The sequence below is a fragment of the Homo sapiens genome, chromosome 1 (genome assembly GCF_000001405.40).
Source record: "Homo sapiens chromosome 1, GRCh38.p14 Primary Assembly".
In the NCBI taxonomy this organism is placed as follows: domain Eukaryota; kingdom Metazoa; phylum Chordata; class Mammalia; order Primates; family Hominidae; genus Homo; species Homo sapiens.
Genome location: NC_000001.11, coordinates 160,632,859 through 160,659,956, shown reverse-complemented (window position 1 = coordinate 160,659,956; position 27,098 = coordinate 160,632,859). Strand labels below are relative to the sequence as shown.

Here is a 27,098-nt window from a genome sequence, read left to right as displayed (position 1 = left end):
GATTTTTCAAAGTTATTTTAGAACTACCGTTTGATTCAGCAATTCCACTACTGGGCATCTACTGAAAGGAAAAGAAGTAGTTTTATCAAAAAGACACCTGTACTCATATGTTTATTGCAGCACTATTCACAGTAGCAAAGTCATGGAATCAATTTAGGTGCCCATCAACAGTGGGCTGGATAAAGAAAATGTGGTATGTATACACAGTGGAATACTATGCAGCTGTAAAAAAGAATGAAATCATGTCTTCTGCAGCAACACGGATGCAGCTCGAGGCCATTATCCTAAGTAAATTAACACAAAAACAGAAAATTAATGATCACATGTCCTCACTTGCAAGTGGGAGCTAAATAATGGGTACATACAGACATAAAGACGGAAACAATAGACAGACACTGGGGACCCCAAGAGTGAGGAGCAAGGGAGTAGGGTAAGGGTTGGAAACTACCTATTGGGTATTATATTAACTATGTGAGTGATGGGTTCAATAGAAGTCCAAATCCCAGCATTGCACAATATACCCATGTAACAAATCTACACTTGCACCCCTTGAATCTAAAACGTAAAAAAAAAGAAACTTACTTGGCATAAAAATTTTATTAGCATAAGGTCAAACTTGAACCCTCAGATTCTTTGGGTGGCAGTATAAATTGTCCAAACATTAATCATTCAAGGAAGAGCAGAACTGGGCAATAGTGGAGCCAAATATCTAAGATCCCAAATAGAGAGCCATGAGTCTGTCAAATAGTGGAAGTAAAGTAGGAGGTGGGACTTGACTCTGGAAGCAGGGCTCAGACACAGGACCAAGTTGAGGACTAGCTGAAACAGGGCTGGAGTGGAAGCAGTTTTCCATAAGACAAACCCACCAGTGTACCATGTCAGTTTACCATTGCTATGGCAACACTCAGAAATTACCGCCCCTTTCCCTGGCAATGACCTGACAACCAGGAAGTTACCACCCTTTTCCTAAAAATTTCTGCATAAATTGCCCCTTAATTTGCATATAATTAGAAGTGGGTATAAATGTGAGTGCATAACTGCCTCTGACCTGCTACTCTGGGCACACAGCCTATGGGGTAGCCTTGCTCTGCAAGGAACAGTATATGTCCTGCTGCTGCACACTGTCACTTCGTAAAAGTTGTTGTTTAACACCAGCAGCTCACACTTGAATTCTTTCTTGGGCAAAGCCAAGAGCCTTCCTGGGCTAAGCCCCAATATTGGATCTCACCTGTCTTGCGTCAGAAATATCAGGGCCTGTGGAGCCTCAGTGTATAACTCAGGATAAGAAGAGCAGAATCATGCTTACGGCAGGCCCCTGATGAGTCTGTTTGTTGACCTGGGCCAGTGGCAAGAAATCTCCTGGGAGCTAGACAGGTCAAAGGGCGGAAAGGAGTGGGGAGAAAGAGAGCGCCCCAGGCCAAGGCTGGAGGAGTTTCTAAGAAGACGGGAAAGACTAAAGGAAGTCAAGAGTTAAAAATTCTTAATGATAAGTAGATTAGGATGTGGGGCAAGAACTTAGAAGGAATGTCATAAAGGGAGGGCATAGGATCACTGCTATTCTCTTTCCCTGGTCTCTCCTTATCTGGCCTTCTTGCCCCTAGATATGAAGGACTCCGATAATGGCTTTGCTAAACAGCATGTATCCTGGGCCAGTGTGGTAAGAGGCAGTAGAGATTATATCCAAGTACTGCGTCTGCTATTTATTTACTGCGTCACCTCAAGCAAGTTATTTAACTCTCTAAGCTTCAGTTTCCTCATCTGTGAATTACCTGTGGATAATAGTAAGGTTAAACCTGGTGCTGAGCTCTTGGAAAAGTTCAGCTGTACTGCTGTAGAATTTTCATCTTCTTGTAGTCCCATGACATACCATACTTCCGTGAGCAAGCCAAATTAAGGACCCATGTTCTTAAAATAGATTCTTGTGTTTTAAAGAGTTCAGTAAACAATATAGGAAGCAACGGTAATTGCTTGTCTTTCTCCCAGCCCTCTGTTCCAGGGAAGGATTTTCTTATGGAGTGGGAGTCTCATCCAGGAGAAATAGTAGATATTCTAAGCTGCAGGCGAAATGTCTCCACAGAAACTTTTGCTGGAGGTTCTGGCTGGAGGGAAATCCAAGAAGGACGGCTGGGTCTCAAAATGCCATCTGAGCATGCAGCACAATATCCCAGCCAGTTGGGGCCCAGACAAGACCAGAGTTCATTTTAATAGTCTTTATCCAGGTTCTGTCATCAGAACTGGGCATCATGAGCCATCCTTCTTAAAGACAAATACAACAGAAAAAGAGGCTGCCTCTTAACTGACTTATTCACCCCTGGGAAAATTTCTTAAGATAAAACGTACTCCTTGTTGTTTTAACTCTATGGTCTTGCTCAACAAAGCAAAATTTAGAAACAATAAAACTAAAGAAGGAAGTGTCTATCTCTGAGTATGATCTTTACTTCTTTTACTCCATAGAACGCTTTTCAAAATTTGACATTTTAAACAATCTCATGATCTTCATTTGTTCTTTTTTCGAGGAGAGATAATGAACACAATGTTCTTTAAGAAATTGTTCTTCATTAAACTAGGCAACAACCTGTGAGTCATTGTAACGTATTATGTTAAATTTAAAAAAATACAAAACTATGTGCAACCCAGTGACTGTAGTTACAAATGTTCTTCTGGAATGAATAACCCACTGAGGCAAGAAAAAACTTCACTTAAGCCGCTGCTTAGTAAAAGGCACTTGGTGTCTATCCCAGGCACCAGAATCTTAACTGTAATTATTATTCGAGATTAGCCTATCAGATGTTTACTTACGATGATACCCAGAGGCATTTTTTACTTGAAATTGTATAATAAAGCAAAAAGATAAATTGAAGCGACCAAGCCCGCCATACAGAATGAGAACCTCAGAGGTATTTTATACAATGAAAATAAACACTAACTGCATTTACTGTACTGTGTGATTTTGGTATTGTCTTCCAATCCCTCCACACGTGGATTCTGTGAAACTGCATCAGGTGTGGCCAAGGGTTCAGTTCACATTTTCATTCTGTTTCACATTTTCTGTTCTGATTCATAGTCTACATATATAACTCTTCCTGTTACATATTATACACTGATATTTTCTTTATGAAATGGGATAGTCTATGCTGAGAAATTTCAATTCTTTTATAACAGGACTTTAAAACACTTATCACATCAAATCCATCTCTCTCTTCAATTGCTAAAAGGTCTTAATAGTCTATAGTGTGTTTTTGTCCCTAATTTATGTTGCAAAGTTATTGTTGCCTCCAATAGAGATGCCCAGGAATGACATTCATTTGTAGGGTGCCTGAAGCATTCTGCTCCATGTCTCTGAGGAGTGTCCTTGATCTTGACAACACAGCAGAACTTCCTGTGCATCCCCAGCTCCAGCTTTATGGTGTTCGTCATTTAATTAATCATGACCACCTCAGGAAACCATAAAAAGTGATAGACACCAAATGCAAAATGGCTTTCACATGTCAGGCACTGCAGTGAACATCTTACTTGTATTTATGCCATTTACTTCTCCCAACAACCCTATGAGATTTTTTTTCATCTTAACTCTGTTACTGATGAGGCAAGTGTGGCTTAGAGAGATTAAATAACTTACCTAACATGGGATGATTTATAAATAACAGAATGGGGACGTGGGCCCAGGACTATCTGACCATGTAGCTAGAGTTCTAAACTCGTCTGCTGCCTTATAAAGAAAGGTTTGGAAAATTGCAAACTTGAAAGCAGTTGTGATAGTTAAAAAATGATGGCAGATTTTCCTTTCTTTCTTTTTTCCTTTTTCTTTTTTTTTTTTTTTTTTTGACAGGGTCTCACTATGTCACCCAGGCTGGACTGCATGGTACAAACATAGCTCACTGTAATCTTGAACTTCTGGGCTCAAGCAATCCTCCCATCTCTGCCTCCTAAGTAGCTGGGACTACAGGCATGTGCCACCATGCTTGGCTAATTAAAAAAAAACTTTTTTTTGTAGAGCTGGGGTCTCATTATGTTGCCCAGGCTGATCTTAAACTCTTGGCCTCAAATGATCCTCCTGCTTTGGCCTCCCAAAGTGTTAGGATTGCAGGCATAAGCCACTATACGTGGATCACATTTTATTTTCTTTCTTTTAAAGACATTTCCTTCAGTGCTATATTACATTTGTGATTTTTAAAAGAGGAGATGAATATTAGTTAGGGTTCTCCAGAGAAACAGAATCAACAGGATATATATACATAAAAAGATTTATTATGAGGAATTGGCTCATGTGATTATGGAGACTGAGAAGTTTCATGACCTGCTGTCTGCAAGCTGGAGATCCAGGAAAGCCAGTGGTGTAATTCCAGTTCGAGTTTGAAGGCCTGAGAACCAGGGGAGCTGATGGTGTAAATCCCAGTACAAGGGCTCAACAGGCAGGCGGGAAGCAAAAGGGACAAATTCCTCTTTCTGCCTTTTTGTTCTAGTCAGGCCCTCAATGAATTGGATGATGCCCACCACACTGAGGAGGGCAATCTACTTTCCTGAGTCCATGATTCAAATGCTAATCTCATCCAGAACACCCTCACAGACACATTCAGAAATACTGTTTAATCTGGCCACTTCATAATGCCATCTAGTTGACACATAAAATTAACCATTGGAGGATGGAACCCTAAAGTCAAAAAAAGACTACAATTCCTAAATATTTTTCTCTTAACTAGCAGTGTTATCTGATAAAGTCATTAAGTGGTAGACAATTAGATTTGTTACTCCATGTAAGTATATATATATCATTAAAGGATGTTTAGAATCACTATATTTTAAACCAATGAAATGGTTTTCTCATGGTCAGTGCTGGGGCAGGCACGTAGATGGAGAAGAGGTGGGTGGATGGAGAAGAGGCAAGTGGATGGAGAAGCAGGTGGATTGGGCTTCCACCACTCGGCTTCATCTGGAGTTACTTTCCACAATTCACCTCTCTCTCCAGTGGTCCCAGTTAGAATTCTTCACTGAAGATTTCTACCCTATAGCTAGCTTTTCCAAGCAGCTTAAGTGTCCTAGCTCTCCCCTCTTTCCTGGACTCACTTCAGGTCAGCCCACCTCTTTGGTGTGACGGTGCAGGAATCGCTGCTCTGGACTGCATAAATGGCCCATGAGTATCTCAGAGGGTCATTAGATGACTTCATGGAGCACACAGCCCCCATTTCCCCAGCTGTCTCTGTTTCTCAGGGAGGTCATTGGTTAGTTAAGGACCAGAACTATTCAGAGACAGAAATGAATTCTGCTTCCGATAGTGGTTATCCAGGGTTTCCAGGGTACTTTGCAAATTATCTTCTATCTACCACTCTGTCTAAGAACGCAGACCAGGGTTATGGGAGGCAGTTTTTGGAGCACAGAAAAGATCTGAGGCTGGTGACTTAATAGCCACTGTCACCAGTTCCTGAACCCTATTCCTTCCTAGAGGAGTAGAGTGGCATGGGCATTTCCCTTTCTTTAACAATGTATGCCAGTAAAAAGCAGGCTAGCAAATTACATGACTGCCGCATGAGGTCATTTGAAAGGTAGTAGGAAGCACCCCATTCCTACCATGAATGCTTCTAAAAATGCTGTGGAGAGAGTCTGTGAAGCAGTGACTCTTTCTCGGTCACAGTCACCCCTTAAGGGACATGAAGAATTCAGAGTCAGTTCAGCGCAGGCCCCAGGAAGGCAGGGATCCCCACATATTGGGTCTGGGGTCTGGAAGGATGGAGGAGCATCAGTGGAAATGACAGCAGTTTGAGAGGAAGTCCTCAGATGGCAAAGACCCTCAGATGTCTCTCCACTTCCAGATTCCAGTTCCCTAAAGCAGGTCTGAACTGCTGGAGGAGGTACTGATGTGAGACACCTGGTGAGGGCCTTGCAGTGGGCACTCCCAGCACCACAGACTGGATACGGGGAAGAAGGCACTGCCAGTGGGATTTTCAGCCCTCCTCCCCAGGCCTGATCACTCAGCTCATCCATCTGGCCAGGGAGCTGATGGCAGGCATGAACATTCAGCATAAAGGAGCTGAGTAGAGCCTGGGCCTGGATCTGGGCTAGAGCCACTTCAAAGCCCAGTTTTCTTTCCACTCTCCCCTCAACCCTAACAGCCCCAGCGCCACAACAGGGCTATCTGGTTGACTAGTCTGCTCAGCCTCCATATCAGCCATCTGCCCTGTGGGCTTCCTCATCTTACCCAGCAGGGTGGACCCCAGGGTGTTTTTTCCCAGTGCTTTCCCCAGGCCAGTTTTAGACTCTTCAGTCAGGTCTACTAGGAGAGGTTTCGGAGTTTGGGGAAATTCTGTATTTTCATTTTGGTTTTGCAGGTTTTTTTTTCCTTATCCAGATAAATGTGCTCATGATGAGCTCCATGTGGCCAGGTGATCTGGCCTTAGTGGCCCTTCTCTGTGGGGTCAGTTCATGCTATAGGGGACCTCTGGTCAGAGGCTGTGATGATGATGACCTTTGGCTGGGAAGCCAAGACACTCAGGAGCAGTCCAGACCAGACACTGTCAGGCAGGTGACGTTGGTGCCCGTAGCCACAGTGTCAGGAGAGAGAGTGGCAAGGCTTAGGGACCCATTGAAGAGTTTAAGAGGTAGGAGATGGCTTCCATGCATAACCCACTTGAGGTTTTTTGGGGAAGGCTATTTTCTACAGAAATATAGTCCTCCTCATTCTCAGGTTGGGGCTCTGCATCACCAAAGGGAAAGAATGGTGCTGAGCCACAGACACGGGAGGCCAGGATGGGAAATAGTGCTCACCTAGGATTCTCCTACTGCCCACGCTGTGGCCTGTGCCAGAAGGAATGTTTCACAGATAATGAGCCATTGGCCAATAAGAGCCTGAAGACTGTCTAAGATTCCTGCCCCTCCACACCTGTGGGCGTTTCTCGTCGGGTGGAATGAGAGACTTGAGAAAAGAAAGAGACACAGAGAAAAAGTATAGAGAAAGAAAAGTGGGCCCAGGGGACCAGCGCTCAGCATATGGAGGACCCGCACCAGCACCAGTCTCTGAGTTCCCTTAGTATTTATTGATCATTATCAGGTGTTTCTCAGAGAGGGGGATGTGGCAGGACAATAGGGTAATAGTGGAGACAGGGCCAGCAGGAAAACATGCGAACAAATGTCTCTGCATCATAAACAAGGTAAAGCAAAAAGTGCTGTGCTTTTGAGGTGCATATACATAAACATCTCAATGCCTTAAAGAGCAGTATTGCCTCCAGCATGTCTCACCTCCAGCCCTAAGGTGGTTTTCTCCTATCTCAGTAGATGGAATATACAATCAGCTTTTACACCGAGACATTCCATTGCCCAGGGACGAGCAGGAGACAGATGCTTTTCTCTTATCTCAACTGCAAAGAGGCCTTCCTCTTTTACTAATCCTCCTCAGCACAGACCCTTTACAGGTGTCACGCTGGGGGACGGTCAGGTCTTTCCCTTCCCGCAAGGCCATATTTCAGACTGTCACATGGGGAGAAACCTTGGACAATACCTGGCTTTCCTAGGCAGAGGTCCCTGTGGGCTTCCGCAGTGTATTGTGTCTCTGGGTACTTGAGAGTAGGGAGTGGTGACGACTTTCAACAAGCATGCTGCCTTCAAGCATTTGTTTAACAAAGCACATCCTGCACAGCCCTTAATCCATTTAACCTTGAGTTGACACAGCACGTGTTTCAGCGAGCACAGGGTTGGGGGTAGGGTTACAGATAACAGCATCTCAAGGCAGAAGAATTTTTCTTAGTACAGAACAAAATGGAGTCTCTTATGTCTACTTCTTTCTACATAGACACAGTAACAGTCTGATCTCTCTTTCTTTTCCCCACACTTGGTATAATGCAAGTGGTATGGTGAATGGATAGAGCACAGACTCTGGAGTCAGATAATCCAGGGTTTGAATCCAACTCTTGCATTTTTTTTGGCTCTGAGCCATTGAGCAAGTTATTTAGCAGCACTATACTTCAATTTGTAAAATGGGGATAACTACTCCTGCTTCTTACTGCTACCAAGATCAATGAAGTAACACTGTGGAAACCCCAGGCATCCAGGGAGTTCAATAGCAAGATTTCCTTCCTCCTTATTCTCTTGAGTATTCATGGTGATACTCACCAGGAAAAAGGAAAGAGCTCTGATCAGTGTCAGGATTCCCAAGTTTGGTCCAGATCCTGCCTTACAAACACCACCAGCTCCTTTGCAGGGCTGTTAGGAGGATCAAATAAGGCTGTGAATGTGAAGGCTTTTGAAAATGGCTTTGTAACTACAAGGCACTATCACCTGTATATCTTCTGTTGTTGGTCTGTTGACATCTGCTCTTAATAGCTCAAGGAAGCAGCTCAGTATACTAAATGTACTAACTGCAAATCTCTGGTTAGTCACATTGCCCCTCAGGTCCTGTATTAGTTTCCTGTGGCTGCTGTAAAAAATTATCACAAGCCTGATGACTTAAAACAACAGAAATTCATTCTCCCACCGTTCTGTAGGCACAAGGTCTAAAATTAACATATTGGCAAGACCTGCTCCTTCTGAAAGCTCAAGGGGAGAATCTTTCTCTGCCTCTTCCAGCGTCTGGTGGTCTCTGGTGTTCGTTGAATTGTGGCTGCATAGCTCTAGTCTCTGCTTTGTCTTTTCACATGGCCATCTTCTTTGTGTCTCTGTGTGTCCTTTTTCTATTTCTTAGAAAGATGCACTACTCTCATTGGATTTGGGGATCACTCTGATTCACCCAGTATAATCTCATCTCAATTCTTACCTTAATTACATCTGAAAGATCCTGATTCCAAATAAGTCCACATTCTGACGTTCCAGGTGAAGAAGAATTTGGGGGCAGAGAGGACTCTATATAGAATCCACTCTAGAACCTCAGAACCTTCATCTAAACCATTTCTGACCCTCATTCAATGTATGTTTTTATTTAGTTCTAGATTGCACCAAACAGGAAAACTCTTCATATAGTGCCTAGCATTAGCTCAGTTATCTGTGTAGAGGGGATCCAGGAGATCAGAGTGGAGAGGCCTCATAGCGAGTCTAGAGAAGGTCTAATTCTGGAAATGAGAGGAAGGGCAAAGTAAACAAGAGAATAAGTGTCTGTCTTTGAGAGAGGAAGGTTTGACATGAATAGACAGCATGCATTCCAGGAGCCGTGCAGCTTGAGGAGAGAACACCAGTCTTGAAATCAGACCTGGATCATTGGTTTCCCATTTTTACAGGATGCCAATATTCTCACATCATTTAGTTATTTCAACTGATATTTTATGAATACGTAGACAGTATGCCATTCACTCCACCATTTGGATTCTCAGTTATTGTAACAGTGGTGTGTTGGTAAATGGTTAAGAGCCAGATCTCTGAAAAATAATATATGCATATATGTAAATGAGCTTGTTATAAATTTTGCTTATACGAAGAATGTGTAACACGCAATTTATAAAATAAAATTTATTGTATTTTAATAAAATGTACAATCCTCTTTATTGTAAATTCCATATAGCCACAGATCTCACAGGCTGTTTGCTTTCATATTGGCTTAATTCATATCCACAGCCAAACTGTGTTTACAAGTGACAAAGGAATGTAGTTCCAACATGAATGTTGGTTAATGTCTTTTTTGAAGTTAAAGAAATGTGAAACAACAAAAACATATGTTGGAACATCACTTGCTCATCAGTGACACTAGTGACTTTTTGCTGAATCAGATGATAGTTTTTGAATACTGGAAAAATGTTTCCTCAATTTTTTATGCTAATCCTAATGTAAGGGCCATAGTCATGGCACATGTTTAAGTTTACTCTGCATCATTATGTTTTCTCTATTACTTTCTTACATTTAGACAATCAACAAAACAGTAAAGTTCTGATTTATATTGCTTGCTGATTTCCATGGCATAAACTCTCACCATGGCCAGTTTCAAGCTCCCAACACTATGCCATTGAATGCAGAGTGGGGAAGAGAGGTCCAGAAGCACCAATGTTCCAGTATTTAATTTCCACTGTAGACACATAAGAGATGTCAATTACCTCAAGAACATAGATATCAGTAATGTCATAAAATAATTAAGAAACAATGAGCTTTGAGATTTTATTCCCTCTATTTAATATAATTTATTTAGTTGTGAAGTTTTTTTTAAAGGCAGGGTTTTGCTCTGTTGCCCAGGCTGGAGTGCAGCGGCTATTTACAGGTGTATTAGTCCACTCTCACACTGCTATAAAGATACTACCCAAGACTGGGTAATTTATAAAGGAAAAAGGTTTAATCGACTTGCAGTTCCACATGGCTAAGGAGGCCCCAGGAAACTTACAATCATGGTGGAAGGCAAAGGAGAAGCAAGGACCTTCTTCACATCACAGTAGGAGAGAGAAGAGCAGCCAAGAGCAGAAAATACTGCCTTATAAAACCATCCAATCTTGTGAGAACTCACTCACTGTCTTAAGACCGGCATGGAGGGGAAACTGCCCCCATGATCCAATCACCTCCCACCTTGTCCCTTTCTCAACACTTGGGGATTATGGGGATTACAATTCGAGATAAAATTTGGGTGGGGACACAGCGGCAAACCACACCAACAGGCATGATCATGATAGTCCGTTTTCACACTGCTATAAAGATACTACAGCCTCAAACTCTTGGGCTCAAGGGGTCCTCATGCTTCAGCCTCTCAAGTACCTGGGACTACAGGCATGTACCACCATGCCCAGCTTAACTGTAAGTTTATATAATTTAATTTAATTTTATATGTTTAATAATGGCCATGTTCATCAAGCACCTCACAAGATTCCTGAAAATCTATTTTTTATTTTTATTAAAAAAAATTGTTTGTAGACATGAGGTCTCACTCTATCGCCCAGACTATTTTCAAACTCTTGGCCTCAAAAATTCTCCCACCTAGGCCTCCACAAATGGTGGGGTTACAGGCGTGCCACTGTGCCCATCCAGATTCCTGAAAATTTAACAATTTTATGAGTTGGTACATGCTGACTCGAGCACACACCACTGGGAATAGTTGTGAGGAGGACAGTTGAGTGCTGGGGAAAGGAAGGAAGAAAACAGTGAGGATAAAGTTCACATATCTCACCAGCTTTTATTACCTGATCCCCATGGGGAGGCCCATCAGAGAGTGCCTATGACCTGTTACAATGGACTCTAAAAACACTTCCCTACTCTTTCAAGTCTCCCTGTGAGCATTGGTTACACTTCCAGTATCCCATTCTTATAGTTTAACTCATGAAAAAGGGCGGGATCCTCCTTCTGCCAATACTAGTTCCTTCTCCTCAATGAAAAGTTAGACACAAACTCCAAAATAAAGGCAACTCCCAGAATACAACACAGCCCCAATTAAATTAAAATGGCTTTTATCCAAAAGACAGGTAATAACAAATGCTGACAAGGATGTGGAGAAAAAGTACCCTTGTACACTGTTGTTGGGAATATAAGTTAGTACAACCACTGTGGAGAATGGTTTGAAGGTTCCTCAAAAAACTAAAAATAGAGCTACCATATGATCCACAATCTCACTGGTAGGTATACACCTAAAAGAAAAGAAATCAGTATATTGAAGAGATATCTGTACTCCCATGTTTATTACAGCACTATTCACAATAGCCAAGGTTGGAAGCGACCTAAGCGTCTATCACCGATGAGTGGATAAAGAAAATGTGGTACATATACACAATGAAGTACTATTCAGCTAAAAAAGAATTAGATCCTGTCATTCACAATGACATGGATGGAATTGAAGATCATTATGTTACGTGAAATAAGCCAGGCACAGACAGACAAACTTTGCACGTTCTCACTTGCTTGTGAGAGGTAAAAATTAAAACAATTGAACTTGTGGGCATAGAGAGTAGAAGGATGGTTACCAGAGGCTGAAGGGTAGTGGGGGTTGGGGAAGAAGTGGGGATGGTTAATGGGTACAAAAAAATAGAAAGAATGAATAAGAACTAGTATTTGATAATACAACAGTGTGACTATAGTCAATAATAATTTAATTGCACATTTAAAAATAAAAATATAATTGCACTGTTTGTAACACAAAGGATAAATATTTGAGGTGATGGATATCCCATTTACCCTGTGTGATTATTACATATTGCATGCCTCTATCAACATATCTCATATACCCCATACAAATATATGCATACCCCATACATATATATATACATACACACACACACACACACACACACACACACACACACACACACACATATATGTATATCTACTATGTACCCACAGACGTTAAAAATTAGAGGAGAAAACACACACACAACAAGGAGACTGAGCTGGAAGGATGGAGCTCTGGGATAGATTTGTCCTACATCCCTGCCTGGGAGGGAATCCACACACATGCAAGAAGACAAACTAGGAGCATGGGCTACTAAATTATACCACATTGCACTCATCGGGGTCACAGGGTTTCTTCCAAGTGACCCGCACATGCCCTTCCCATCTCTGTGTGACAGTGGCACCTGCACCAGACTGCATGTTGAGGTGTCATCTGAAATTATGAAATAAAACAGAAGTAAGAGGTCTATTAGCTCATCAAAATGCAGTTATCTAAGTTCAGCTGTGAACTGCCAAATTTGAGGAGTGATCCAATGAAACATCTTTTCTTTGCAATCCAAGAAGACTTACCGGAGAGAACTGCTCAGAGAATCTGCAACATCCGGTTCCTGGAGACAGCTAAGGAAAGAAGCTGGGGCGCATGTTTCTGCCCAAAGCCGGGTTTTGGCCGAGGTGACTACACACCCCCTTTCCTGGCTCCCATAGGCTAAGTGCCTGGCTTCTTGAGAAGCCTGCTTCTTGAGAACAAAAAAGTGATTTAAAGCCTCATGGGAGATGAGCAATCCTCAAGACACAAGCAGAAAAAGTCCCAGTGATACAGGAAGCGGGTTCAGGAACCTGCTGGTTCCTGATACATAAATCAGACAGCCTCTGCTGCATGACACGAAGCTTGCTTCTGCCTGGCATCTGTGAGCAGCTGCCAGGCTCCGGCCAGGATCCCTTCCTTCTCCTCATTGGCTGATGGATCCCAAGGGGCTCCTCTCCTTGACCTTCGTGCTGTTTCTCTCCCTGGCTTTTGGGGCAAGCTACGGAACAGGTGAGTGTTCATCTGCCTGATGGTTTGAGTCCCATGTTAGCTGCCAGGAATCAGCGTATCTTCGTGGATGGAGAGAAGGTGCAGGGCTGGGTATTGTGTTTGGTCACTCTTCCTTAGGGACTGGCTGTCAGTTTCAACTGCCTCTTTCAAAGAGGAAGGAACATTATAAGTTCCTGGGCCCTTGGGTTTCCAAGACTCAGCCCCACCAACCCCAGTTTCCAAGGAAATGAGGGGCTCTAAGCCAAAGGCTCCAGTCACTTTTCTGACCAGTCTTAGGGTGACAGGCCCTGGTAGAAGTCTTGCTTGAGTGGTTGGTTTTACATGGGCATCTTCTGGCAAAGACCCAGCCTAGAGAGACTGAGCTGGATGGACTGAGCTCTGGGAGAAGATTTGCCCTACATCCCTGCCCTGGGAGGGAATCTGTGCACATGCAGGCTGACAAACCAGGAGCATGGGTCAACAGAAAGCATTGGCTAGAGTGGGAAGAGAGAGTAGAAGTGAAAACTCCAGGCTTTTGGCTGAGAACCAGCAGTGGCCACAGTGCGGTCATACTGGTGTGTATTTTCTTGGAAGAGAAGGTCCAAGAAAGCAAGAGGGAAGAAGTTGGGATTTCTGAAGGCTAGGGCTGGTTACAGTATGTGGGAAATGCAAATTGGGAACCCTCAGAGAGTAGCTCCAGCAGGAAGGCCAGACAAGAGCTACCTTTGGATCTGGACTCTGTTCCTGTCTTTCTGTCTATCTTCTTCCCAAGGCAGGCTATTGCTTTCTGTTTAGAAGTATCAGGGCTATGAGAAAAGGTATTTGAGAAAGAAAAAGCCAAGCAAGAAGTGGACTTTGGACTGCCTGTGTGAGTGGGGTGAGAATCTCCTTCTGCTTATTTGTTTAGACTGTGGGAGGTAGCCTGGAGTAGAAGAGGTGGCATTACGGACACGGGGGGAAATCCTGAGGCCCAGGGTGTTTTAAGCTTGGGGTTTTCAAGACCGCAAATCCAATATGGACTTTTCCAGGAAAAGCACCGTGATATGCCAGGGATGTGGGGGTGCTGCACAATGGATGTGTCTTTTACCAGACAGCCAGACGAACAGGGCTTGCTCAGCCCACTTTCTTTTGGAATCTGCAGATCCATGGCTCGTACTTCCCAAGGTCTAGGGGAGGAAGAACTGAGCTCGGGGCTCAGAAAACCAAATCGAGCCACTTTAAGTGGTCACAGGGAAAGCCAAGCCTCCGTTGTTGCAACCAATTTGTGACTGCACCATTTCTGGAGCACCTCTTGGTGACTGTAAGGTGTGATGGAGTGATGGTGCTGAACTGTGAACTGGACTTTTCCATCTCTGTGCTTGCTAGCCTCTTGGCCAGCCTGGCCCATAGCATCTTAGGCACTGCTGACCAATAGCTCGTCTTATTGAGGCTTTGGAAGTCGCCGGTCAGGGAGAAGCAACCCAGCCCCACAAGGCAAGTCTATCCAATCGGAGGCTGCTCACTTCATTGCATGTTTTCTTCTTTGAATCTTCACAAAAGTTTTTCAGTGTTTTTATTTTTAAATACACACCCTTTTGTGAAGCCCCAATAAAACCCAGACAGAAATGCTTTGCAAATGGGGCAGGTTAGTCATGACAGATTTGCCCAAGCAAGAAGCTTGATTCTTGTAAAACTGGCATCCACTCCCATTCTCATTTCTACTCAGCTCAACTTCTAATTCCCAGTCAGAATTGTAAAAATCAAAAAGTCCACATGTCCCTTCCCCAAGTAAAGTGAATTTTTCATTTCCCCCGATGAGATTTGTTTTAATAGACTTTATTTTTTAGAGCAGTTTTAGGTTCACAGCAAAGTTGGGCAGAAAGAACAGAGATTTCCCATATGCCCTCTGCCCCATACATACATAGCCTCCCCTATTATCAATATCCCCCACCAGGATGGTACATTTGTTATAATTGATGACCTTATGTCAATGAGTTTTTTTTATTCCTCCATGCAGTTCCTCTGCACCCCCTTCACACACTTTGGGGGAAGGTGAGGGACAAGTGCGTGGGTTCTAGACTTGGCCTAACCTTGCGTGTTCAGTGGCCCATTCTATCCCAAGATGTCAATCTAGGCACTTCTATTTCTCAAAAATATTAATACTGTGATGTGATGCTGTCACTTTCACTGTCTCCCTCACTGGACTGGAAATCAGAGTATCAGGGCTAATTGGTTTAATCCATAGATTTGACTTTGAATGATCCCATTCAGCAACTATTAAGGACACATGATGTGGCAGCCACTGTGCAAGGGTGCAAGGTGTGGGGAAAACAAAATGAACAACAGCCACTGCCCAGCACCTGACACTGTGTCTGTACTGAGAGCCTGTCCACAAATATTTGTTGAGTGAATAATACTGGTATATACTGCATACTTGCCATATACCAGGCACTGTTCTAAATGCTTTATGTGTGTCAGTCATTTCATTTTCACACCAACCCTATAAGAAATGTATGTATTATTGGTACCATTACAACTTTATAAATGAGGAAAGGGGCACAGAGTAGTTTAGCAATTTCTCTGCGCTCACATAGCTGCCTGACTCCAGAGGCCTCAATGAGTAAAACTGGACAAGCCTATGTTTGGGAAGCAGGGGTGGAGAGAATGCCAAAATTTGTATCCAGGTCCCATGGTAAAAATTAGAATGTGCTATCTATAATTGAAAAATATGAGTTGAATTGAATTGGAATAAATTGAAGTATAGAAATGTCCAAAAGGTGAGAGACTGATAAAAATCACAGAAGAACGTAGAGGGCATATAAGAAGTATTTGACCTGGAATTTGGAAAATGAAAACTTTTTTTCATCATGCAAATGTTCATTTAATTTTTTTTTGTTAACTAGTTTGTTTATTGATTATCACATCTATAAAACATGTCATGTCTATGAAACTTCAACAGTACACAAGAGTATTTAGTGAAGACTAATTTCCCTTCCATACCTCATGCTGGAGGCAACCACTGTGACCAGTTTCTTGTGTGTCTTTCCAAATGTATAGGTCTTCGTGTTTGATAGATCAGTACGGTGACTATAGTTAACAATAATCTATTGTACATATCAAAATAACTGGAAGAGAATAATTCAAATGTTCTTAGCATAAAGAAAAGAGAAATACTCAAGGTGATACATATCCCAATTAACCCGATTTGATCTTTACACAACATGTGAGTGTATCAGACAGCACATGTGCCCTGAAAATATATACATCTATTATGTATCAATTTTTTAACATGGCAGAGAAGAAATCAGAGATAAAGAGGGTGGGGAAATAAAACTTCTCTCGACTTTTCAGTGTCCTGGTGAAGAGTACTAGCTCTGACATTTTTTCATACCATAAGAATTAAATCTGTAGTTATTTGCATAGGTAATTGCTCTGATCCAAACGAATAATAAAATTTTTCCCGAGAGGAGCAAATGGTTATAGCCTGAACAAGGTCCCTAGGTAGAGCGCCCAGGGTGCCATGAAGCCTGGAGTCACTATCTTCCTAAGCAGGCCAGCATAAGCTTGTGCCATCATTATGCAGCATGCAAGAAGGAATGAGCCCCAGAACTTGGAGTCAAGTCCCAGGACTTGCCATAAAAGCCAAGACATGTAACGGACTATCTGGCTCCTGGAGAGATTTATCTACCTACCAAAGTGTTGGAATAAGGAGCAGACCTTTAAGACGGGGAGGGGGGATAGCTGCCTCCTCCCTCTTTTATAGGTAGGGAAAATAATTTGTCCTTGTTTCTTACCTATGGAGTGTCTGTTTACTCACATAGAGCAATTGACCTTGCTCTTATCACATCATCCTAGGGGGAAGTGGGGGGCCAAAGCATTTACTATTTACTGTGAGTCATTTAATAAGAAATTTAACTCTAATCCAGTATATCTCATGTGCACATTTGGGATAAAGTTAATAAAAATGAATATTAAAAACTTAGCCCCAAATAAATGGGTCCGATGGGCTTGATTTTTATGGAACTTGAGAAGGAGCGTTCTAGAAGGAGGCACAAATGCAGAGGTAAAGGGTTTCAAGTGTTCTTGGCAAGTTGTCTGTTGTACCTGAAACCTAGGGTTTATATTTAAGGCACTTCCATGTCCTCAGCTGGCAAGTGGGGAAAAGGGTCCCCACCACTTTCTTCCATAATATACCTCTTAGGGATACTATAAAGGCAAATCAGAGTACATTCTGCTTTTGGAGGGAGGAGAACTTGGACTCTGTGTTGTCATTTGCTCATTTTTCATTCATCCCATTCTGTTTTATTAATTCACTTGGGCAACAAGGATTTACTGAGCTCCTACTATGTCCCAGGTGGGTGTTAGGGATACTGTAGTGAATAAAACAGACACAGTCCCTACTCTTGGAAGCTTATAAGAGTGGGGGATTACAGGCATTGAACCAGAGTTGAACACGTGATGAATGATATGAAGGAGTGCGTTCATTGTCCATTGGAAGTCTGTGACAGGAAAACCCAACCTAAGTCAGGAGTCAGGAAAGTCTTCCCTATGAAAGAGATGTCAAAATGGAGACCAGAAAGATGGAAGTTGTTAGCTAGGCAAATAAAGAGTGGTTATAGCCTCTAAGGCTAGGGAACGTACATACTAATAGTCTAAGATAGAAAGACCCAGCAGTGCCAAATAATAAAAATAGGACTTTGACTGATGGGGATACAGTTTAAAAAGCAAACACAGACAAGATGTCTTTTCTTTCTGAGCCTAAATTTACCAAAAGAACTGTGGGGTCTGTAAGTTCTGTTCCTTCTGTACCTGAAAGAATACTGTAGCAAGATGCTAAAAGCACATATGAAAGTGTCAGGGCTAGGCAAAAAAATATAATACAATAAAACAAAAAGAGTTATCATTAGGTAGAAGCCCATCTTGTGAGAGGGTTGGCTAAATCCTACTATTAATAATTTTTGACCAAACTCCATAGGCCCATGTGAATCACTCATTTTTCGAAGTAGAATTACCCATGAAGGAAAGTGAGTTGGTGTTAACAGCTACAAATGTTTCCTCCCAGACTCTTTTAGTAAATAAGGGCTGGCTGAATCACAGACACACTGGAAAACACTCATCTAGCAGGATGTTTCAGGAGCAGGGACGCCACTCGAGGGGTTTTATGAACCACTTTAAAGCCCCCACTTATTTTTCCACCTTGTGCTTATGTGAGGGTGATCTCAAGTACCCCCTCCAGACCCCAACACTCACACACTCAGGTATTGCGTCATCATTCTTTATGTGGGTTGTGGGGTATAAGGGTCTCTTCCTGATGAAGTTTTGGTTCCACTCCTCATGACTGAGTGTGCATAAAACCACTCAGCCTCTCTCATCTACCCCTCCCTTTTCCTCTTCCTCTTTCTCCTTCTATGTTCTTTCGTTTATTTTATTTTTTTATTTTTTTATTTTTTTGGTTATTCCCTACCTCTCTTATATCCCTCTTTCTCCTCCCCCAATCAACTCCAAGTTCTGAAAGCAACCATGGCGCAAAGAGTGTGCAAGGTTAGGTGGGGAAGGAGTGCATGGGAGCCATTTTGGGGAGTGGTGGCGATGGGTTATGGCCTGAAAATGGGATTTTTTATTCTTTTTTTCTCCCTATCAAAGTTGGTCTTTAAAAATCAACACTACGCTAGCAATTTTTAATCTTGTTTTGAATCTCAGATCCCTTTAAGAGATGGCATTTATGGATGTGCTCCCAGAAAAATATGTATACGCTCATCTATACAACTTTTTATACAAAAGTCTGGAAGTTCATACTTGCACATATGGCTTTAAATTTTTTCTCATTTCTTTATACACAGAAGTTTAGGTTCAGGATTCAAGAAGTTACTCTTTTAGGTACTGTGCCTACAAGTCAGGTATGTAGCCACCAAAGGGGTCACATTATCTAGACAGTCAGGCATCCATAAGTGTGGTGGAAGAAAATCCAACATGCTTCCCAGTATATTAATGTAAAAACAACCACCACCACCACAATAACTATAATGTTCCTCATGTCATCAAGCAGCAGGGGAGAGCACTCTGTTTTAAGCTTAATATATTCGCAATATTTTAAAAGACAAATGCCTAATTGCCTTTCTCACTTTTCCTCAACAATTAAGAATTTCAATCACTCTAGGCCAGATTTTAGCCCAGATAGACTTCTTTTTCTTCTTCCCCAATCACTGAATCTCTAGTCTACTATTAGCTGAGCCCTTTACTGAGCAACATGGGGATTTCGGGGTATTTTGGTGACAAGAATATTTGGGCCAGTGTGTCCAATTTTCCAATAGCTCATCTTAGCCACAAGTCAGTTGTGAAAGAGTCTCTTCTAGGTAGCTGCATTACTTAAGCTGATGGTTCTATTTTACTCTCTGACTTTCTTATCAGCTAGAACAATCTATGCTCTCTTTGAGTCATGGGCTCCTTCTTTTATGAACACTAGCTTATGGTTAAGTTCAGATATATATATATGTGTATGTATATATATATGTATGTGTGTGTGTATATATATATATGTGTGTGTGTGTGTGTATATATATATATATATATATATATATATATATATGACAAACCTAATAACCTAAATAAGAGGCTTTGGTCAGGTATTATGGTTTTCAGCATTCATTCATTGAACAGATATTTATTAAATGCCTCCTATATACTAAGCACATAGCACCTGTTTGTAGGTCTTGGGGTCAAAATAGTGAACAAAATGAAGTTCTTCCTCTTGAGGCTTTTGCATTCTAGTGGGAGAGACAAAAATAAAACAAACAAATATACAGTATAATATAATGCAGTGATAAGTGCAGAAAGAAACACAAAGCTATTTTAGATAGATGGTCAGAGGAGGCCTCTTGGAGGAGAAACTGTTTTGAGCAGATACCTAAAATAAAGTGAAAGAATGAGCTACCCAGGTATGGAAGGGAAGAAATTCTTCAGAGAGAGGAACAGCAAAAGCAAAAGTTCTGAGACAGGAATGTTCTTGGTGGGTTTAAGAAACAGCCAGGAGCCAGTGTGGCCGTAGCACAGTGAGCAAAGAGGAGGGCAGGAAATGGAGTTGGAACAGTGCCACGGACTGGGCATGCAGGGCCTTTGAAGCCATATCAATAATGGACTATGGTTTTATTCTATCGGTGCTAGAAAGCCACAGAAATTTAAAAGCAGGAGAGAGACAAAATAGGACATGGTTTTTAAAGATGATTCCATCTATTGTATGAATGCAGGGAGATCAGCTGGAAGAAGACGGCAGTACCCAGGCCTGGGATGATGGTGGTGGAAATGCAGGAGGTGAAAAGGGTTCAGATACCAGACATATTTTGAAGTCAGAGCCAGGAGGATTTGCTGTTAAAATGAGTGTGGAGTATGGCTGGGCACAGTGGCTCATGCCTGTAATCCCAGCACTTTGGGAGGCCGAGGCGGGCAGATCACTTGAGGTCAGGAGTTCGAAACCAGCCTGGCCAACATGGTGAAACCCCGTCTTTACTAAAAATACAAAAAATTAGCAGTGCATGGTGGCAGGCACCTGTAATCCCAGCTACCCAGGAGACTGAGGCAGGGGACTTGCTTGAGCCCGGGAGGCAGAGGTTGCAGTGAGCCGAGATCGCAACATTGCACTCCAGCCTGGGCGACAGCACAAGACTCCATCTCACAGAAAAAAAAAAATTGAGTTTGGAGTATGCGAGAAAGAAAGGAATCAAGGATGTTTCCAGTGTTTTGGCCTGACAAATTGGCTGAATTATAATGTTTGCAGAAGGTGTTCTGGAACCAAGAGTTTGTTTGCTAAGTTTGAAATGCCCTTTAGACCTCCAAGTCCTGTCTTGTGTAGGCAGTTGGGAGTGCAGTGAAGGTTTTGGTTGGGAGATATAACCCTGTAGCATCCCAGAAATATGTCAGACTGTGCAATTGGGTGAGAAACTGGATGAGTGTGGATGAGAATGAGAACTCCGAGTACTGAGATGCTCCAGTATTTAGAAGTCCAGAAGAGCAGAAGGCTCCTGCCAAGAAAACTGAGCAGAGGCAACCTATATAGGATAGGAGAAAAACCGGGAGAGTATGTTGTTCCCTGAGCCAAATGATGACAGCGTTTGAAGGAGGGATGGATGAACTATGTCAAGTACCCCTGAGAAAGCAAGTAAGATAAGAACTTTGACTTGGCTTAGTGGAGTAGACAGTGACCTTGACAAAGGTGGTTCCAGCGAGCAGTGGGGAAGAACACCTGTTTATAGTGGGTCCAAGGAAAAATGGGTCTGGAAATGGGAAAAGAAACTATAAACACACATTAAAGCACTTTGCTGTAAAGGAAAACAGAAATGGAGAGGTATCTGGGGATGGACCTGGGATCAGGGGAGATAGTTTTAATATAAGGAAACTACAAGTTTATATGTTGTGTATTGATGGAAATAACCTAGTAAAAAAAAACCTGATAATGTGAGGGACAGAGGCAATTGCCGAAACAAAGCCTTGAAGTAGGTGAGTGCTCCGTGGAGGAAGAGGCTCGACTTAAGTGGGAATGTAGACCATCCATCCAGGTAGGTAGGTTGATTTAGTGGTGGTAATAAGTGGAAGTTCTCTTTTTGTGTTTTCTATTTTATACTTCAGTGAAACAAAAAGCAAAGTCGTCACATGAGAGAGGAGGGGGAAAGGCAGGTTGTGGGTTTGAGGAGAGAGGAGGTGTGAAATAATCAGCAGCAGGAACCCTCATAGTGGTTTGAAAGGCTCTTGGTATTTTTTTTTTTAACCTTGTTGTTGGCTCAGCTTTTTTGGAAAAGAGAAATACAGTAATATCTCACTGTCGACATTATTAACTATCTCAGGGTGTTTGGAGAGAGAGGATTCCACAGTTTGAACACTGGGCTTATCACTTCCTGACTCCACATTCCTCAGATTTTTCTGTTTTCCTCATGATCTGAAATGCTTCCTGGGCTCATGAGCTCAGAATCACTTTTATTTGCTCTCCATCCTTCATCCTGTATATTCAATGGTGGAAAAAACCCTGGTAGAGGAATTAGCAGAACTGAATTCTAATCCTGACTCTGCCACTTACTAGTTAGGGAAGCCATTTAACTTCTCTGTGCTTTTTAGATGCCTGAACAATAAATCTGAGTTGATAAAGACCCAGTACTCTAGTTAATCTATACAACTCTATCCTAAGTAATTTGAAGATTTCTATTGACAGTTTTGAAGTATTGAGAATATAGTGGGGATCCTCAAGGCAGTTCTTATAGACCACGAAGGACTTGGCAACCCCAGGGATAGCCAAAGAGGAAGAGGGAGAGCCTCCAGTCTGTCCTTCCTGATCTGCTGACACGATGTTGTCTAAAGGCCTTAATAATAAGGGACTCTCTTCTCCTCCCTCCCACAGGTGGGCGCATGATGAACTGCCCAAAGATTCTCCGGCAGTTGGGAAGCAAAGTGCTGCTGCCCCTGACATATGAAAGGATAAATAAGAGCATGAACAAAAGCATCCACATTGTCGTCACAATGGCAAAATCACTGGAGAACAGTGTCGAGAACAAAATAGTGTCTCTTGATCCATCCGAAGCAGGCCCTCCACGTTATCTAGGAGATCGCTACAAGTTTTATCTGGAGAATCTCACCCTGGGGATACGGGAAAGCAGGAAGGAGGATGAGGGATGGTACCTTATGACCCTGGAGAAAAATGTTTCAGTTCAGCGCTTTTGCCTGCAGTTGAGGCTTTATGGTAATAATGGCGGCTTCCCCAGTCCACACTAAAGGGCCAAGGTGCTCCTTTGACCAAGAATTTAGGTCTCTCTTAAAAGCAAAGGGTATTCAGAATTGGAAGTAACTAGAATGATCTTCTAGTTTGGGGGTATTTAAACCTGCTGCATGGAAGACGTTTTAAAGGTTGACATTTTTTTTTCCAAATTGCATATTGATGGTAGCTGATTAAGCATTAGTTACTCTTACTCCCATTTCCCAAAGGAAAGGGGCACAGCTCCTTGTGGGCTGGAGGGCCGATAGACCCAAGGATCTTGGTTTGCAAGTAATATTTTATTTGAAAATAGGATTTTTTTCTGATTAAAAGAAGTTGAATACCACAGATCAAACCCAGTCTCTCCTACATGAGGACAGTGAAATCTAACCAGAAGCGGTTAGCACATTTACACACATTTGTGTAGGTGTTTCACTGCACTGGGGGTTCTGGATAAAGATGGCTAAAATTCAGCCCACACACCACTTGTTAAGCCCTGCATTCCGGCACCAGATCATACCTACTTGGTGGAAGAAGTGCCTTTTGGCATTTAAACAAAGGCTTTGGTTATAAAGTCTTTTAGTTGCTGTACTTAAACTAGGAACCAAGTCCACCTGAATCCAAGGCCAGTGCTTTTTTGAGCCTTTTTAACTACCAGTCCCTCTTGAGTGCACCCAGGGATTGTGTCTCTTAGGCCCAGAGACTCATCTGAATTCCCAGGGATCCTGATAGCCACATGGGGCTTTCCTGCTTCTTCAAAATGACTTCCTTATCTCTGGGGATGGGACAGGAATTCCCACCTAACCAGCATTTCTTTGAAATTCTCAAATATCTAGAGGGAAGGCAGCAATACTCTCACCAATCCTCCCTCAACCCAGCATTCCCTTTCCTTCAAACAGTGCCTGCGGAATTCCCATGGCCCTCCCCCAGGTACCTGAGAGTCATTTCCAGCAGTGGCTCCAGGCACGACTGCCATGAGCGTGGAGGCTGCACATGATGCATTTTCCAAAACGGTGTGGATGCCAGACATTCTGTCCTTTGGTTCCTATGTTTCCTGTTTTTGTCACATCTTGTGATCAAATTCTTACTTTGGAAAATGTGGTCTCTGCAACCATGGCATTTTTCTCAAGCCAAAGGAAGAGTTTGGATTTTGAAGTCAGACAGACCTAGGTTCAGATCTTAACTTGGCCACTTAGAAGCTGTGAGTTGTAAGATATTCCACCTCCCTGGGACTTGGCTTTCTCATCTATAAAATGGGGAATAATTACAACTAGAGTTATAATTGTTGAGAAGATTAAAAAAGATGATGAGGTGGCTCACGCCTGTAATCTCAGCACTTTGGGAGGCCGAGGCGGGCGGATCACAAGGTCAGGAGATCGAGACCATCCTGGCTATGGTGGTGAAACCCCATCTCTACTAAAAATACAAAAAAAAAAAAAATTAGCTCAGCATGGTGGTGGGCACCTGTAGTCCCAGCTACTCGGGAGGCTGAGGCAGGAGAATGGCGTGAACCCAGGAGGTGGAGCTTGCAGTGAGCTGAGATTGTGCCACTGCACTCCAGCTTAGGTGACAGAGCGAGACTCTGTCTCAAAAAAAAAAAAAAAAAAGATGATGAATGTGAAACACCAGCACTGTGCTTGTCCTATAATAGTTGCTAAATAAGCAAGAATTTACCTTTTATGTGGCCTATTTCATGGCCTTAGAGTGGGATAGATTGATGAGGCCTATGGTTATAATTGAGGACCTATCACTATCTCAGACACACAAAAGCACTTACTACACACCCACCCACTCACTCACCCATGCGCCCGTGTACATGCGCGCGCGCGCACGCACACACATACACACACACACCCTCCCACACACATCACGATAGATGAAATCCCACCACTAAAAAGCCATTCTTTTAGGTCTAGGAAGTAACAACGTAAGCCAACTAAAAACCATGGTGGATTAGTTGACAGCAAACTCCACTGATAGGAGACAGGAGAATAGCAACTTAGGTCAAGGACATCAGGAAGGGCGAGTGGAGCCCTAACAATATTGGTAGAAGAGGCCTAAAAAGCAAATTCTTATTTTCTATTTTATCCCAAGGTGGTCTTAGATAGGATGTAGTGGGGCATGATGGACAGTGTGAAGCAATAGATTCCCCACTAGAAATAAATCACATTGAGGGGGAGGGAAAATGCCATTAGGCTGTACTTTGTTCTAACAAAAAGGTCAAGTGAGAATTCCCAGGGGTTCACTTCAGTGATGGCTCCCTTCCTCCCACTCCTGACAGAGCAGGTCTCCACTCCAGAAATTAAAGTTTTAAACAAGACCCAGGAGAACGGGACCTGCACCTTGATACTGGGCTGCACAGTGGAGAAGGGGGACCATGTGGCTTACAGCTGGAGTGAAAAGGCGGGCACCCACCCACTGAACCCAGCCAACAGCTCCCACCTCCTGTCCCTCACCCTCGGCCCCCAGCATGCTGACAATATCTACATCTGCACCGTGAGCAACCCTATCAGCAACAATTCCCAGACCTTCAGCCCGTGGCCCGGATGCAGGACAGACCCCTCAGGTGAGTACACTGGTGGCAGCCTGTGTGCCACCTTAATGAGCATGGGCTCAGTCTTCACATGGTCCAATTGCTCCCCAGCCATGGCATTCACCTTAGTAACAATACTTTACATTTTCTTTATAGTTTGCAAAAGTTTACCATGTGCATTTAGTGAGCTCACTCTCATATTGACCAGGGTGGCATTTTTATGCTCAGTTCACAGTTGACGAAACCAACAGGAGGTGATAGAGACAGACCCAGAGCCTAAGTCTCCAAGGCGTAGCCTTCTCTGCCTCTTGCCTTGACTCCAACCTGCAAGGTTGGCTGGGTGAGGGATTGCAGGTGGGAGGGCCTGGCTCCCAAGTCTATGCTCCACTAATGCTGGGGCAGTTCTACACCGTCAATTAGTATTTACTGATCACCTACCTGGTAAGAAATTGTGAATAAATATGATATGTGATCTCTCCTCTCTAACAATTCATTGTAAAGATAAGACGTAAAACATTGCTTAATAATGAAACACAGGATATAGTGAAGGTCCTCGTTTTATGGAATGGACTGTGAATCCCATAGCAGGGCCAGGGGAGTCAGAACGAGAGACTAAGACCTGGACTGTGAAGTTTGAGGAAAAATAATAAATTGCACAGCGCTTCATCATTAGCAAAGCACTCTCAACTGTGTAATCTCTTTTGATCCTCACAATAACCTTGCCAGATAGGTGTTATACTTTCATTTTACAGATGAGGAAATTGACGTTCATACCATTTAAGTACCCTCTTCAAGTTTCTTTGGCATGTAGATAGTGGAGTTAACCCCTAAACCTACATCTTCTGACTGTTCTTCCTCTAGAAAGAAAAGCATCATTATTCTGTCAGCAAAAGGAAGACAGAACTTACTAAGTAAGCCCATTTAACCACTTGGATACAGGACAGAACACAGGCCCTTTTCACTAACAGATCTTGTGTCCCTGCCTCAGGCAGGTTCAGGGACTGTAGGACCAGGGTGTTGCTCTGCAAGGCATTGCTTACACCCTGACATTCTCCTCTCTGCATCCACTGGGGGGACATAGGAATCGTTCCAATGGGTCTTCTGCCTACAGTAGCCATGGTGTCCATGTGGAGGGCTTTCCCAGGTGGTCATGGTTGAGGGACAGGGGAACTCAGCCAAGTAATGCCCTTCCACATAGCACTGCCTGTCACAGAGACTCCCCTGGAGTATTCCCAGATGGACTGCTGGGAAAATCCCACCTGGCCTCCAGTGTGCCCCTGGAAGTTCTTGAATGAGTCTAACCCCCTGCATGTTTCCTCCCCAGACATTTCATAGCCAGAGTCCCCCGTCCTCTCACTTACTGGATATGTCTGGCTGCTTGCCCACCTTGCATACAAACCACATTCAGAGGCTACCCCCCAGTTCAGAGCGCTCTCCCCACCCACAGTCATTTAGAAGGTGCTGGCAGGACAAGCAAGCTGTGCAGCATAGTGGGTAGCTTACAGAATGTGACCCCGGAAGTCCTAGAGCCAATGCTGCCCTTTCTACTTACAAGGGCAAGTGCCTCAATCCCTCTGAGATTTAGATTCTTCATCTCTAAATAACAGCAACTGGCGGGTCATCATGGTTTACTATGTGCCAGTTATGTGGCATCTCAGTTAATCCTCACAGCAACAAAATAATATTGATAGTATCCCCACTTCACAGATGAGGAAACAAAGCTATAACATGGTTAAGTAAGGTCACACACAGAGCAAGTGATGGAGCTAGGCTTTCTGATTCTGGAA

The 27,098-nt window shown here is 43.0% G+C and overlaps 1 protein-coding gene and 1 long non-coding RNA gene across 12 annotated transcripts in view, besides 7 other annotated features; one reads left to right on the top strand and one right to left on the bottom strand.

The window, feature by feature from the left end:
• Positions 1–80: 80 nt before the first annotated feature.
• Positions 81–12,948, bottom strand: LOC107985220 (uncharacterized). Its single transcript, XR_001738266.2, has 2 exons — positions 12,622–12,948; positions 81–12,484 (listed from the first exon to the last, which is right to left on the bottom strand). It is a non-coding gene; the product is annotated as an uncharacterized LOC107985220 (long non-coding RNA).
• Positions 6,269–6,428: an enhancer, noted in NCBI's record as "active region_1941". NCBI's record gives its function as "activates an Ori minimal core promoter by ATAC-STARR-seq in GM12878 lymphoblastoid cells {active_cell/tissue: GM12878}" and the evidence as "EXISTENCE:reporter gene assay evidence [ECO:0000049][PMID:35858748]".
• Positions 6,269–7,099: a biological region, named in NCBI's record as "NANOG-H3K27ac hESC enhancer GRCh37_chr1:160622648-160623458".
• Positions 6,289–7,099: an enhancer, noted in NCBI's record as "NANOG-H3K27ac hESC enhancer chr1:160622648-160623458 (GRCh37/hg19 assembly coordinates)". NCBI's record gives its function as "activates a minimal SCP1, AML or CMV promoter by ChIP-STARR-seq in naive and primed H9 embryonic stem cells {active_cell/tissue: H9 hESC(naive and primed)}" and the evidence as "EXISTENCE:reporter gene assay evidence [ECO:0000049][PMID:30033119]".
• Positions 7,100–7,910: an enhancer, noted in NCBI's record as "OCT4-NANOG-H3K27ac hESC enhancer chr1:160621837-160622647 (GRCh37/hg19 assembly coordinates)". NCBI's record gives its function as "activates a minimal SCP1, AML or CMV promoter by ChIP-STARR-seq in naive H9 embryonic stem cells {active_cell/tissue: H9 hESC(naive)}" and the evidence as "EXISTENCE:reporter gene assay evidence [ECO:0000049][PMID:30033119]".
• Positions 12,782–12,831: an enhancer, noted in NCBI's record as "active region_1940". NCBI's record gives its function as "activates an Ori minimal core promoter by ATAC-STARR-seq in GM12878 lymphoblastoid cells {active_cell/tissue: GM12878}" and the evidence as "EXISTENCE:reporter gene assay evidence [ECO:0000049][PMID:35858748]".
• Positions 12,872–13,081: an enhancer, noted in NCBI's record as "active region_1939". NCBI's record gives its function as "activates an Ori minimal core promoter by ATAC-STARR-seq in GM12878 lymphoblastoid cells {active_cell/tissue: GM12878}" and the evidence as "EXISTENCE:reporter gene assay evidence [ECO:0000049][PMID:35858748]".
• SLAMF1 (signaling lymphocytic activation molecule family member 1) overlaps positions 12,913–27,098 on the top strand; it is a 38,939-nt gene continuing 24,753 nt past the window's right edge. For 8 of the 11 annotated variants that reach the window (NR_104400.3, NR_104399.3, XM_005245456.5 and 5 more), the window contains exons 1-3: positions 12,913–13,087; positions 22,428–22,766; positions 25,060–25,344. Coding sequence is in view for 8 of the 11 variants with exons in the window: in XM_005245456.5 (XP_005245513.1) it covers positions 13,012–13,087; positions 22,428–22,766; positions 25,060–25,344 (700 nt within the window). In the remaining 3 variants the exon portion in view is untranslated. Of the gene's footprint in view, positions 13,088–22,427; positions 22,767–25,059; positions 25,345–27,098 lie in introns of those variants that run through there. The other 3 variants (NR_104401.3, XM_047428490.1, XM_017002131.3) reach the window with 3 other exon arrangements.
• Positions 19,228–19,387: an enhancer, noted in NCBI's record as "active region_1938". NCBI's record gives its function as "activates an Ori minimal core promoter by ATAC-STARR-seq in GM12878 lymphoblastoid cells {active_cell/tissue: GM12878}" and the evidence as "EXISTENCE:reporter gene assay evidence [ECO:0000049][PMID:35858748]".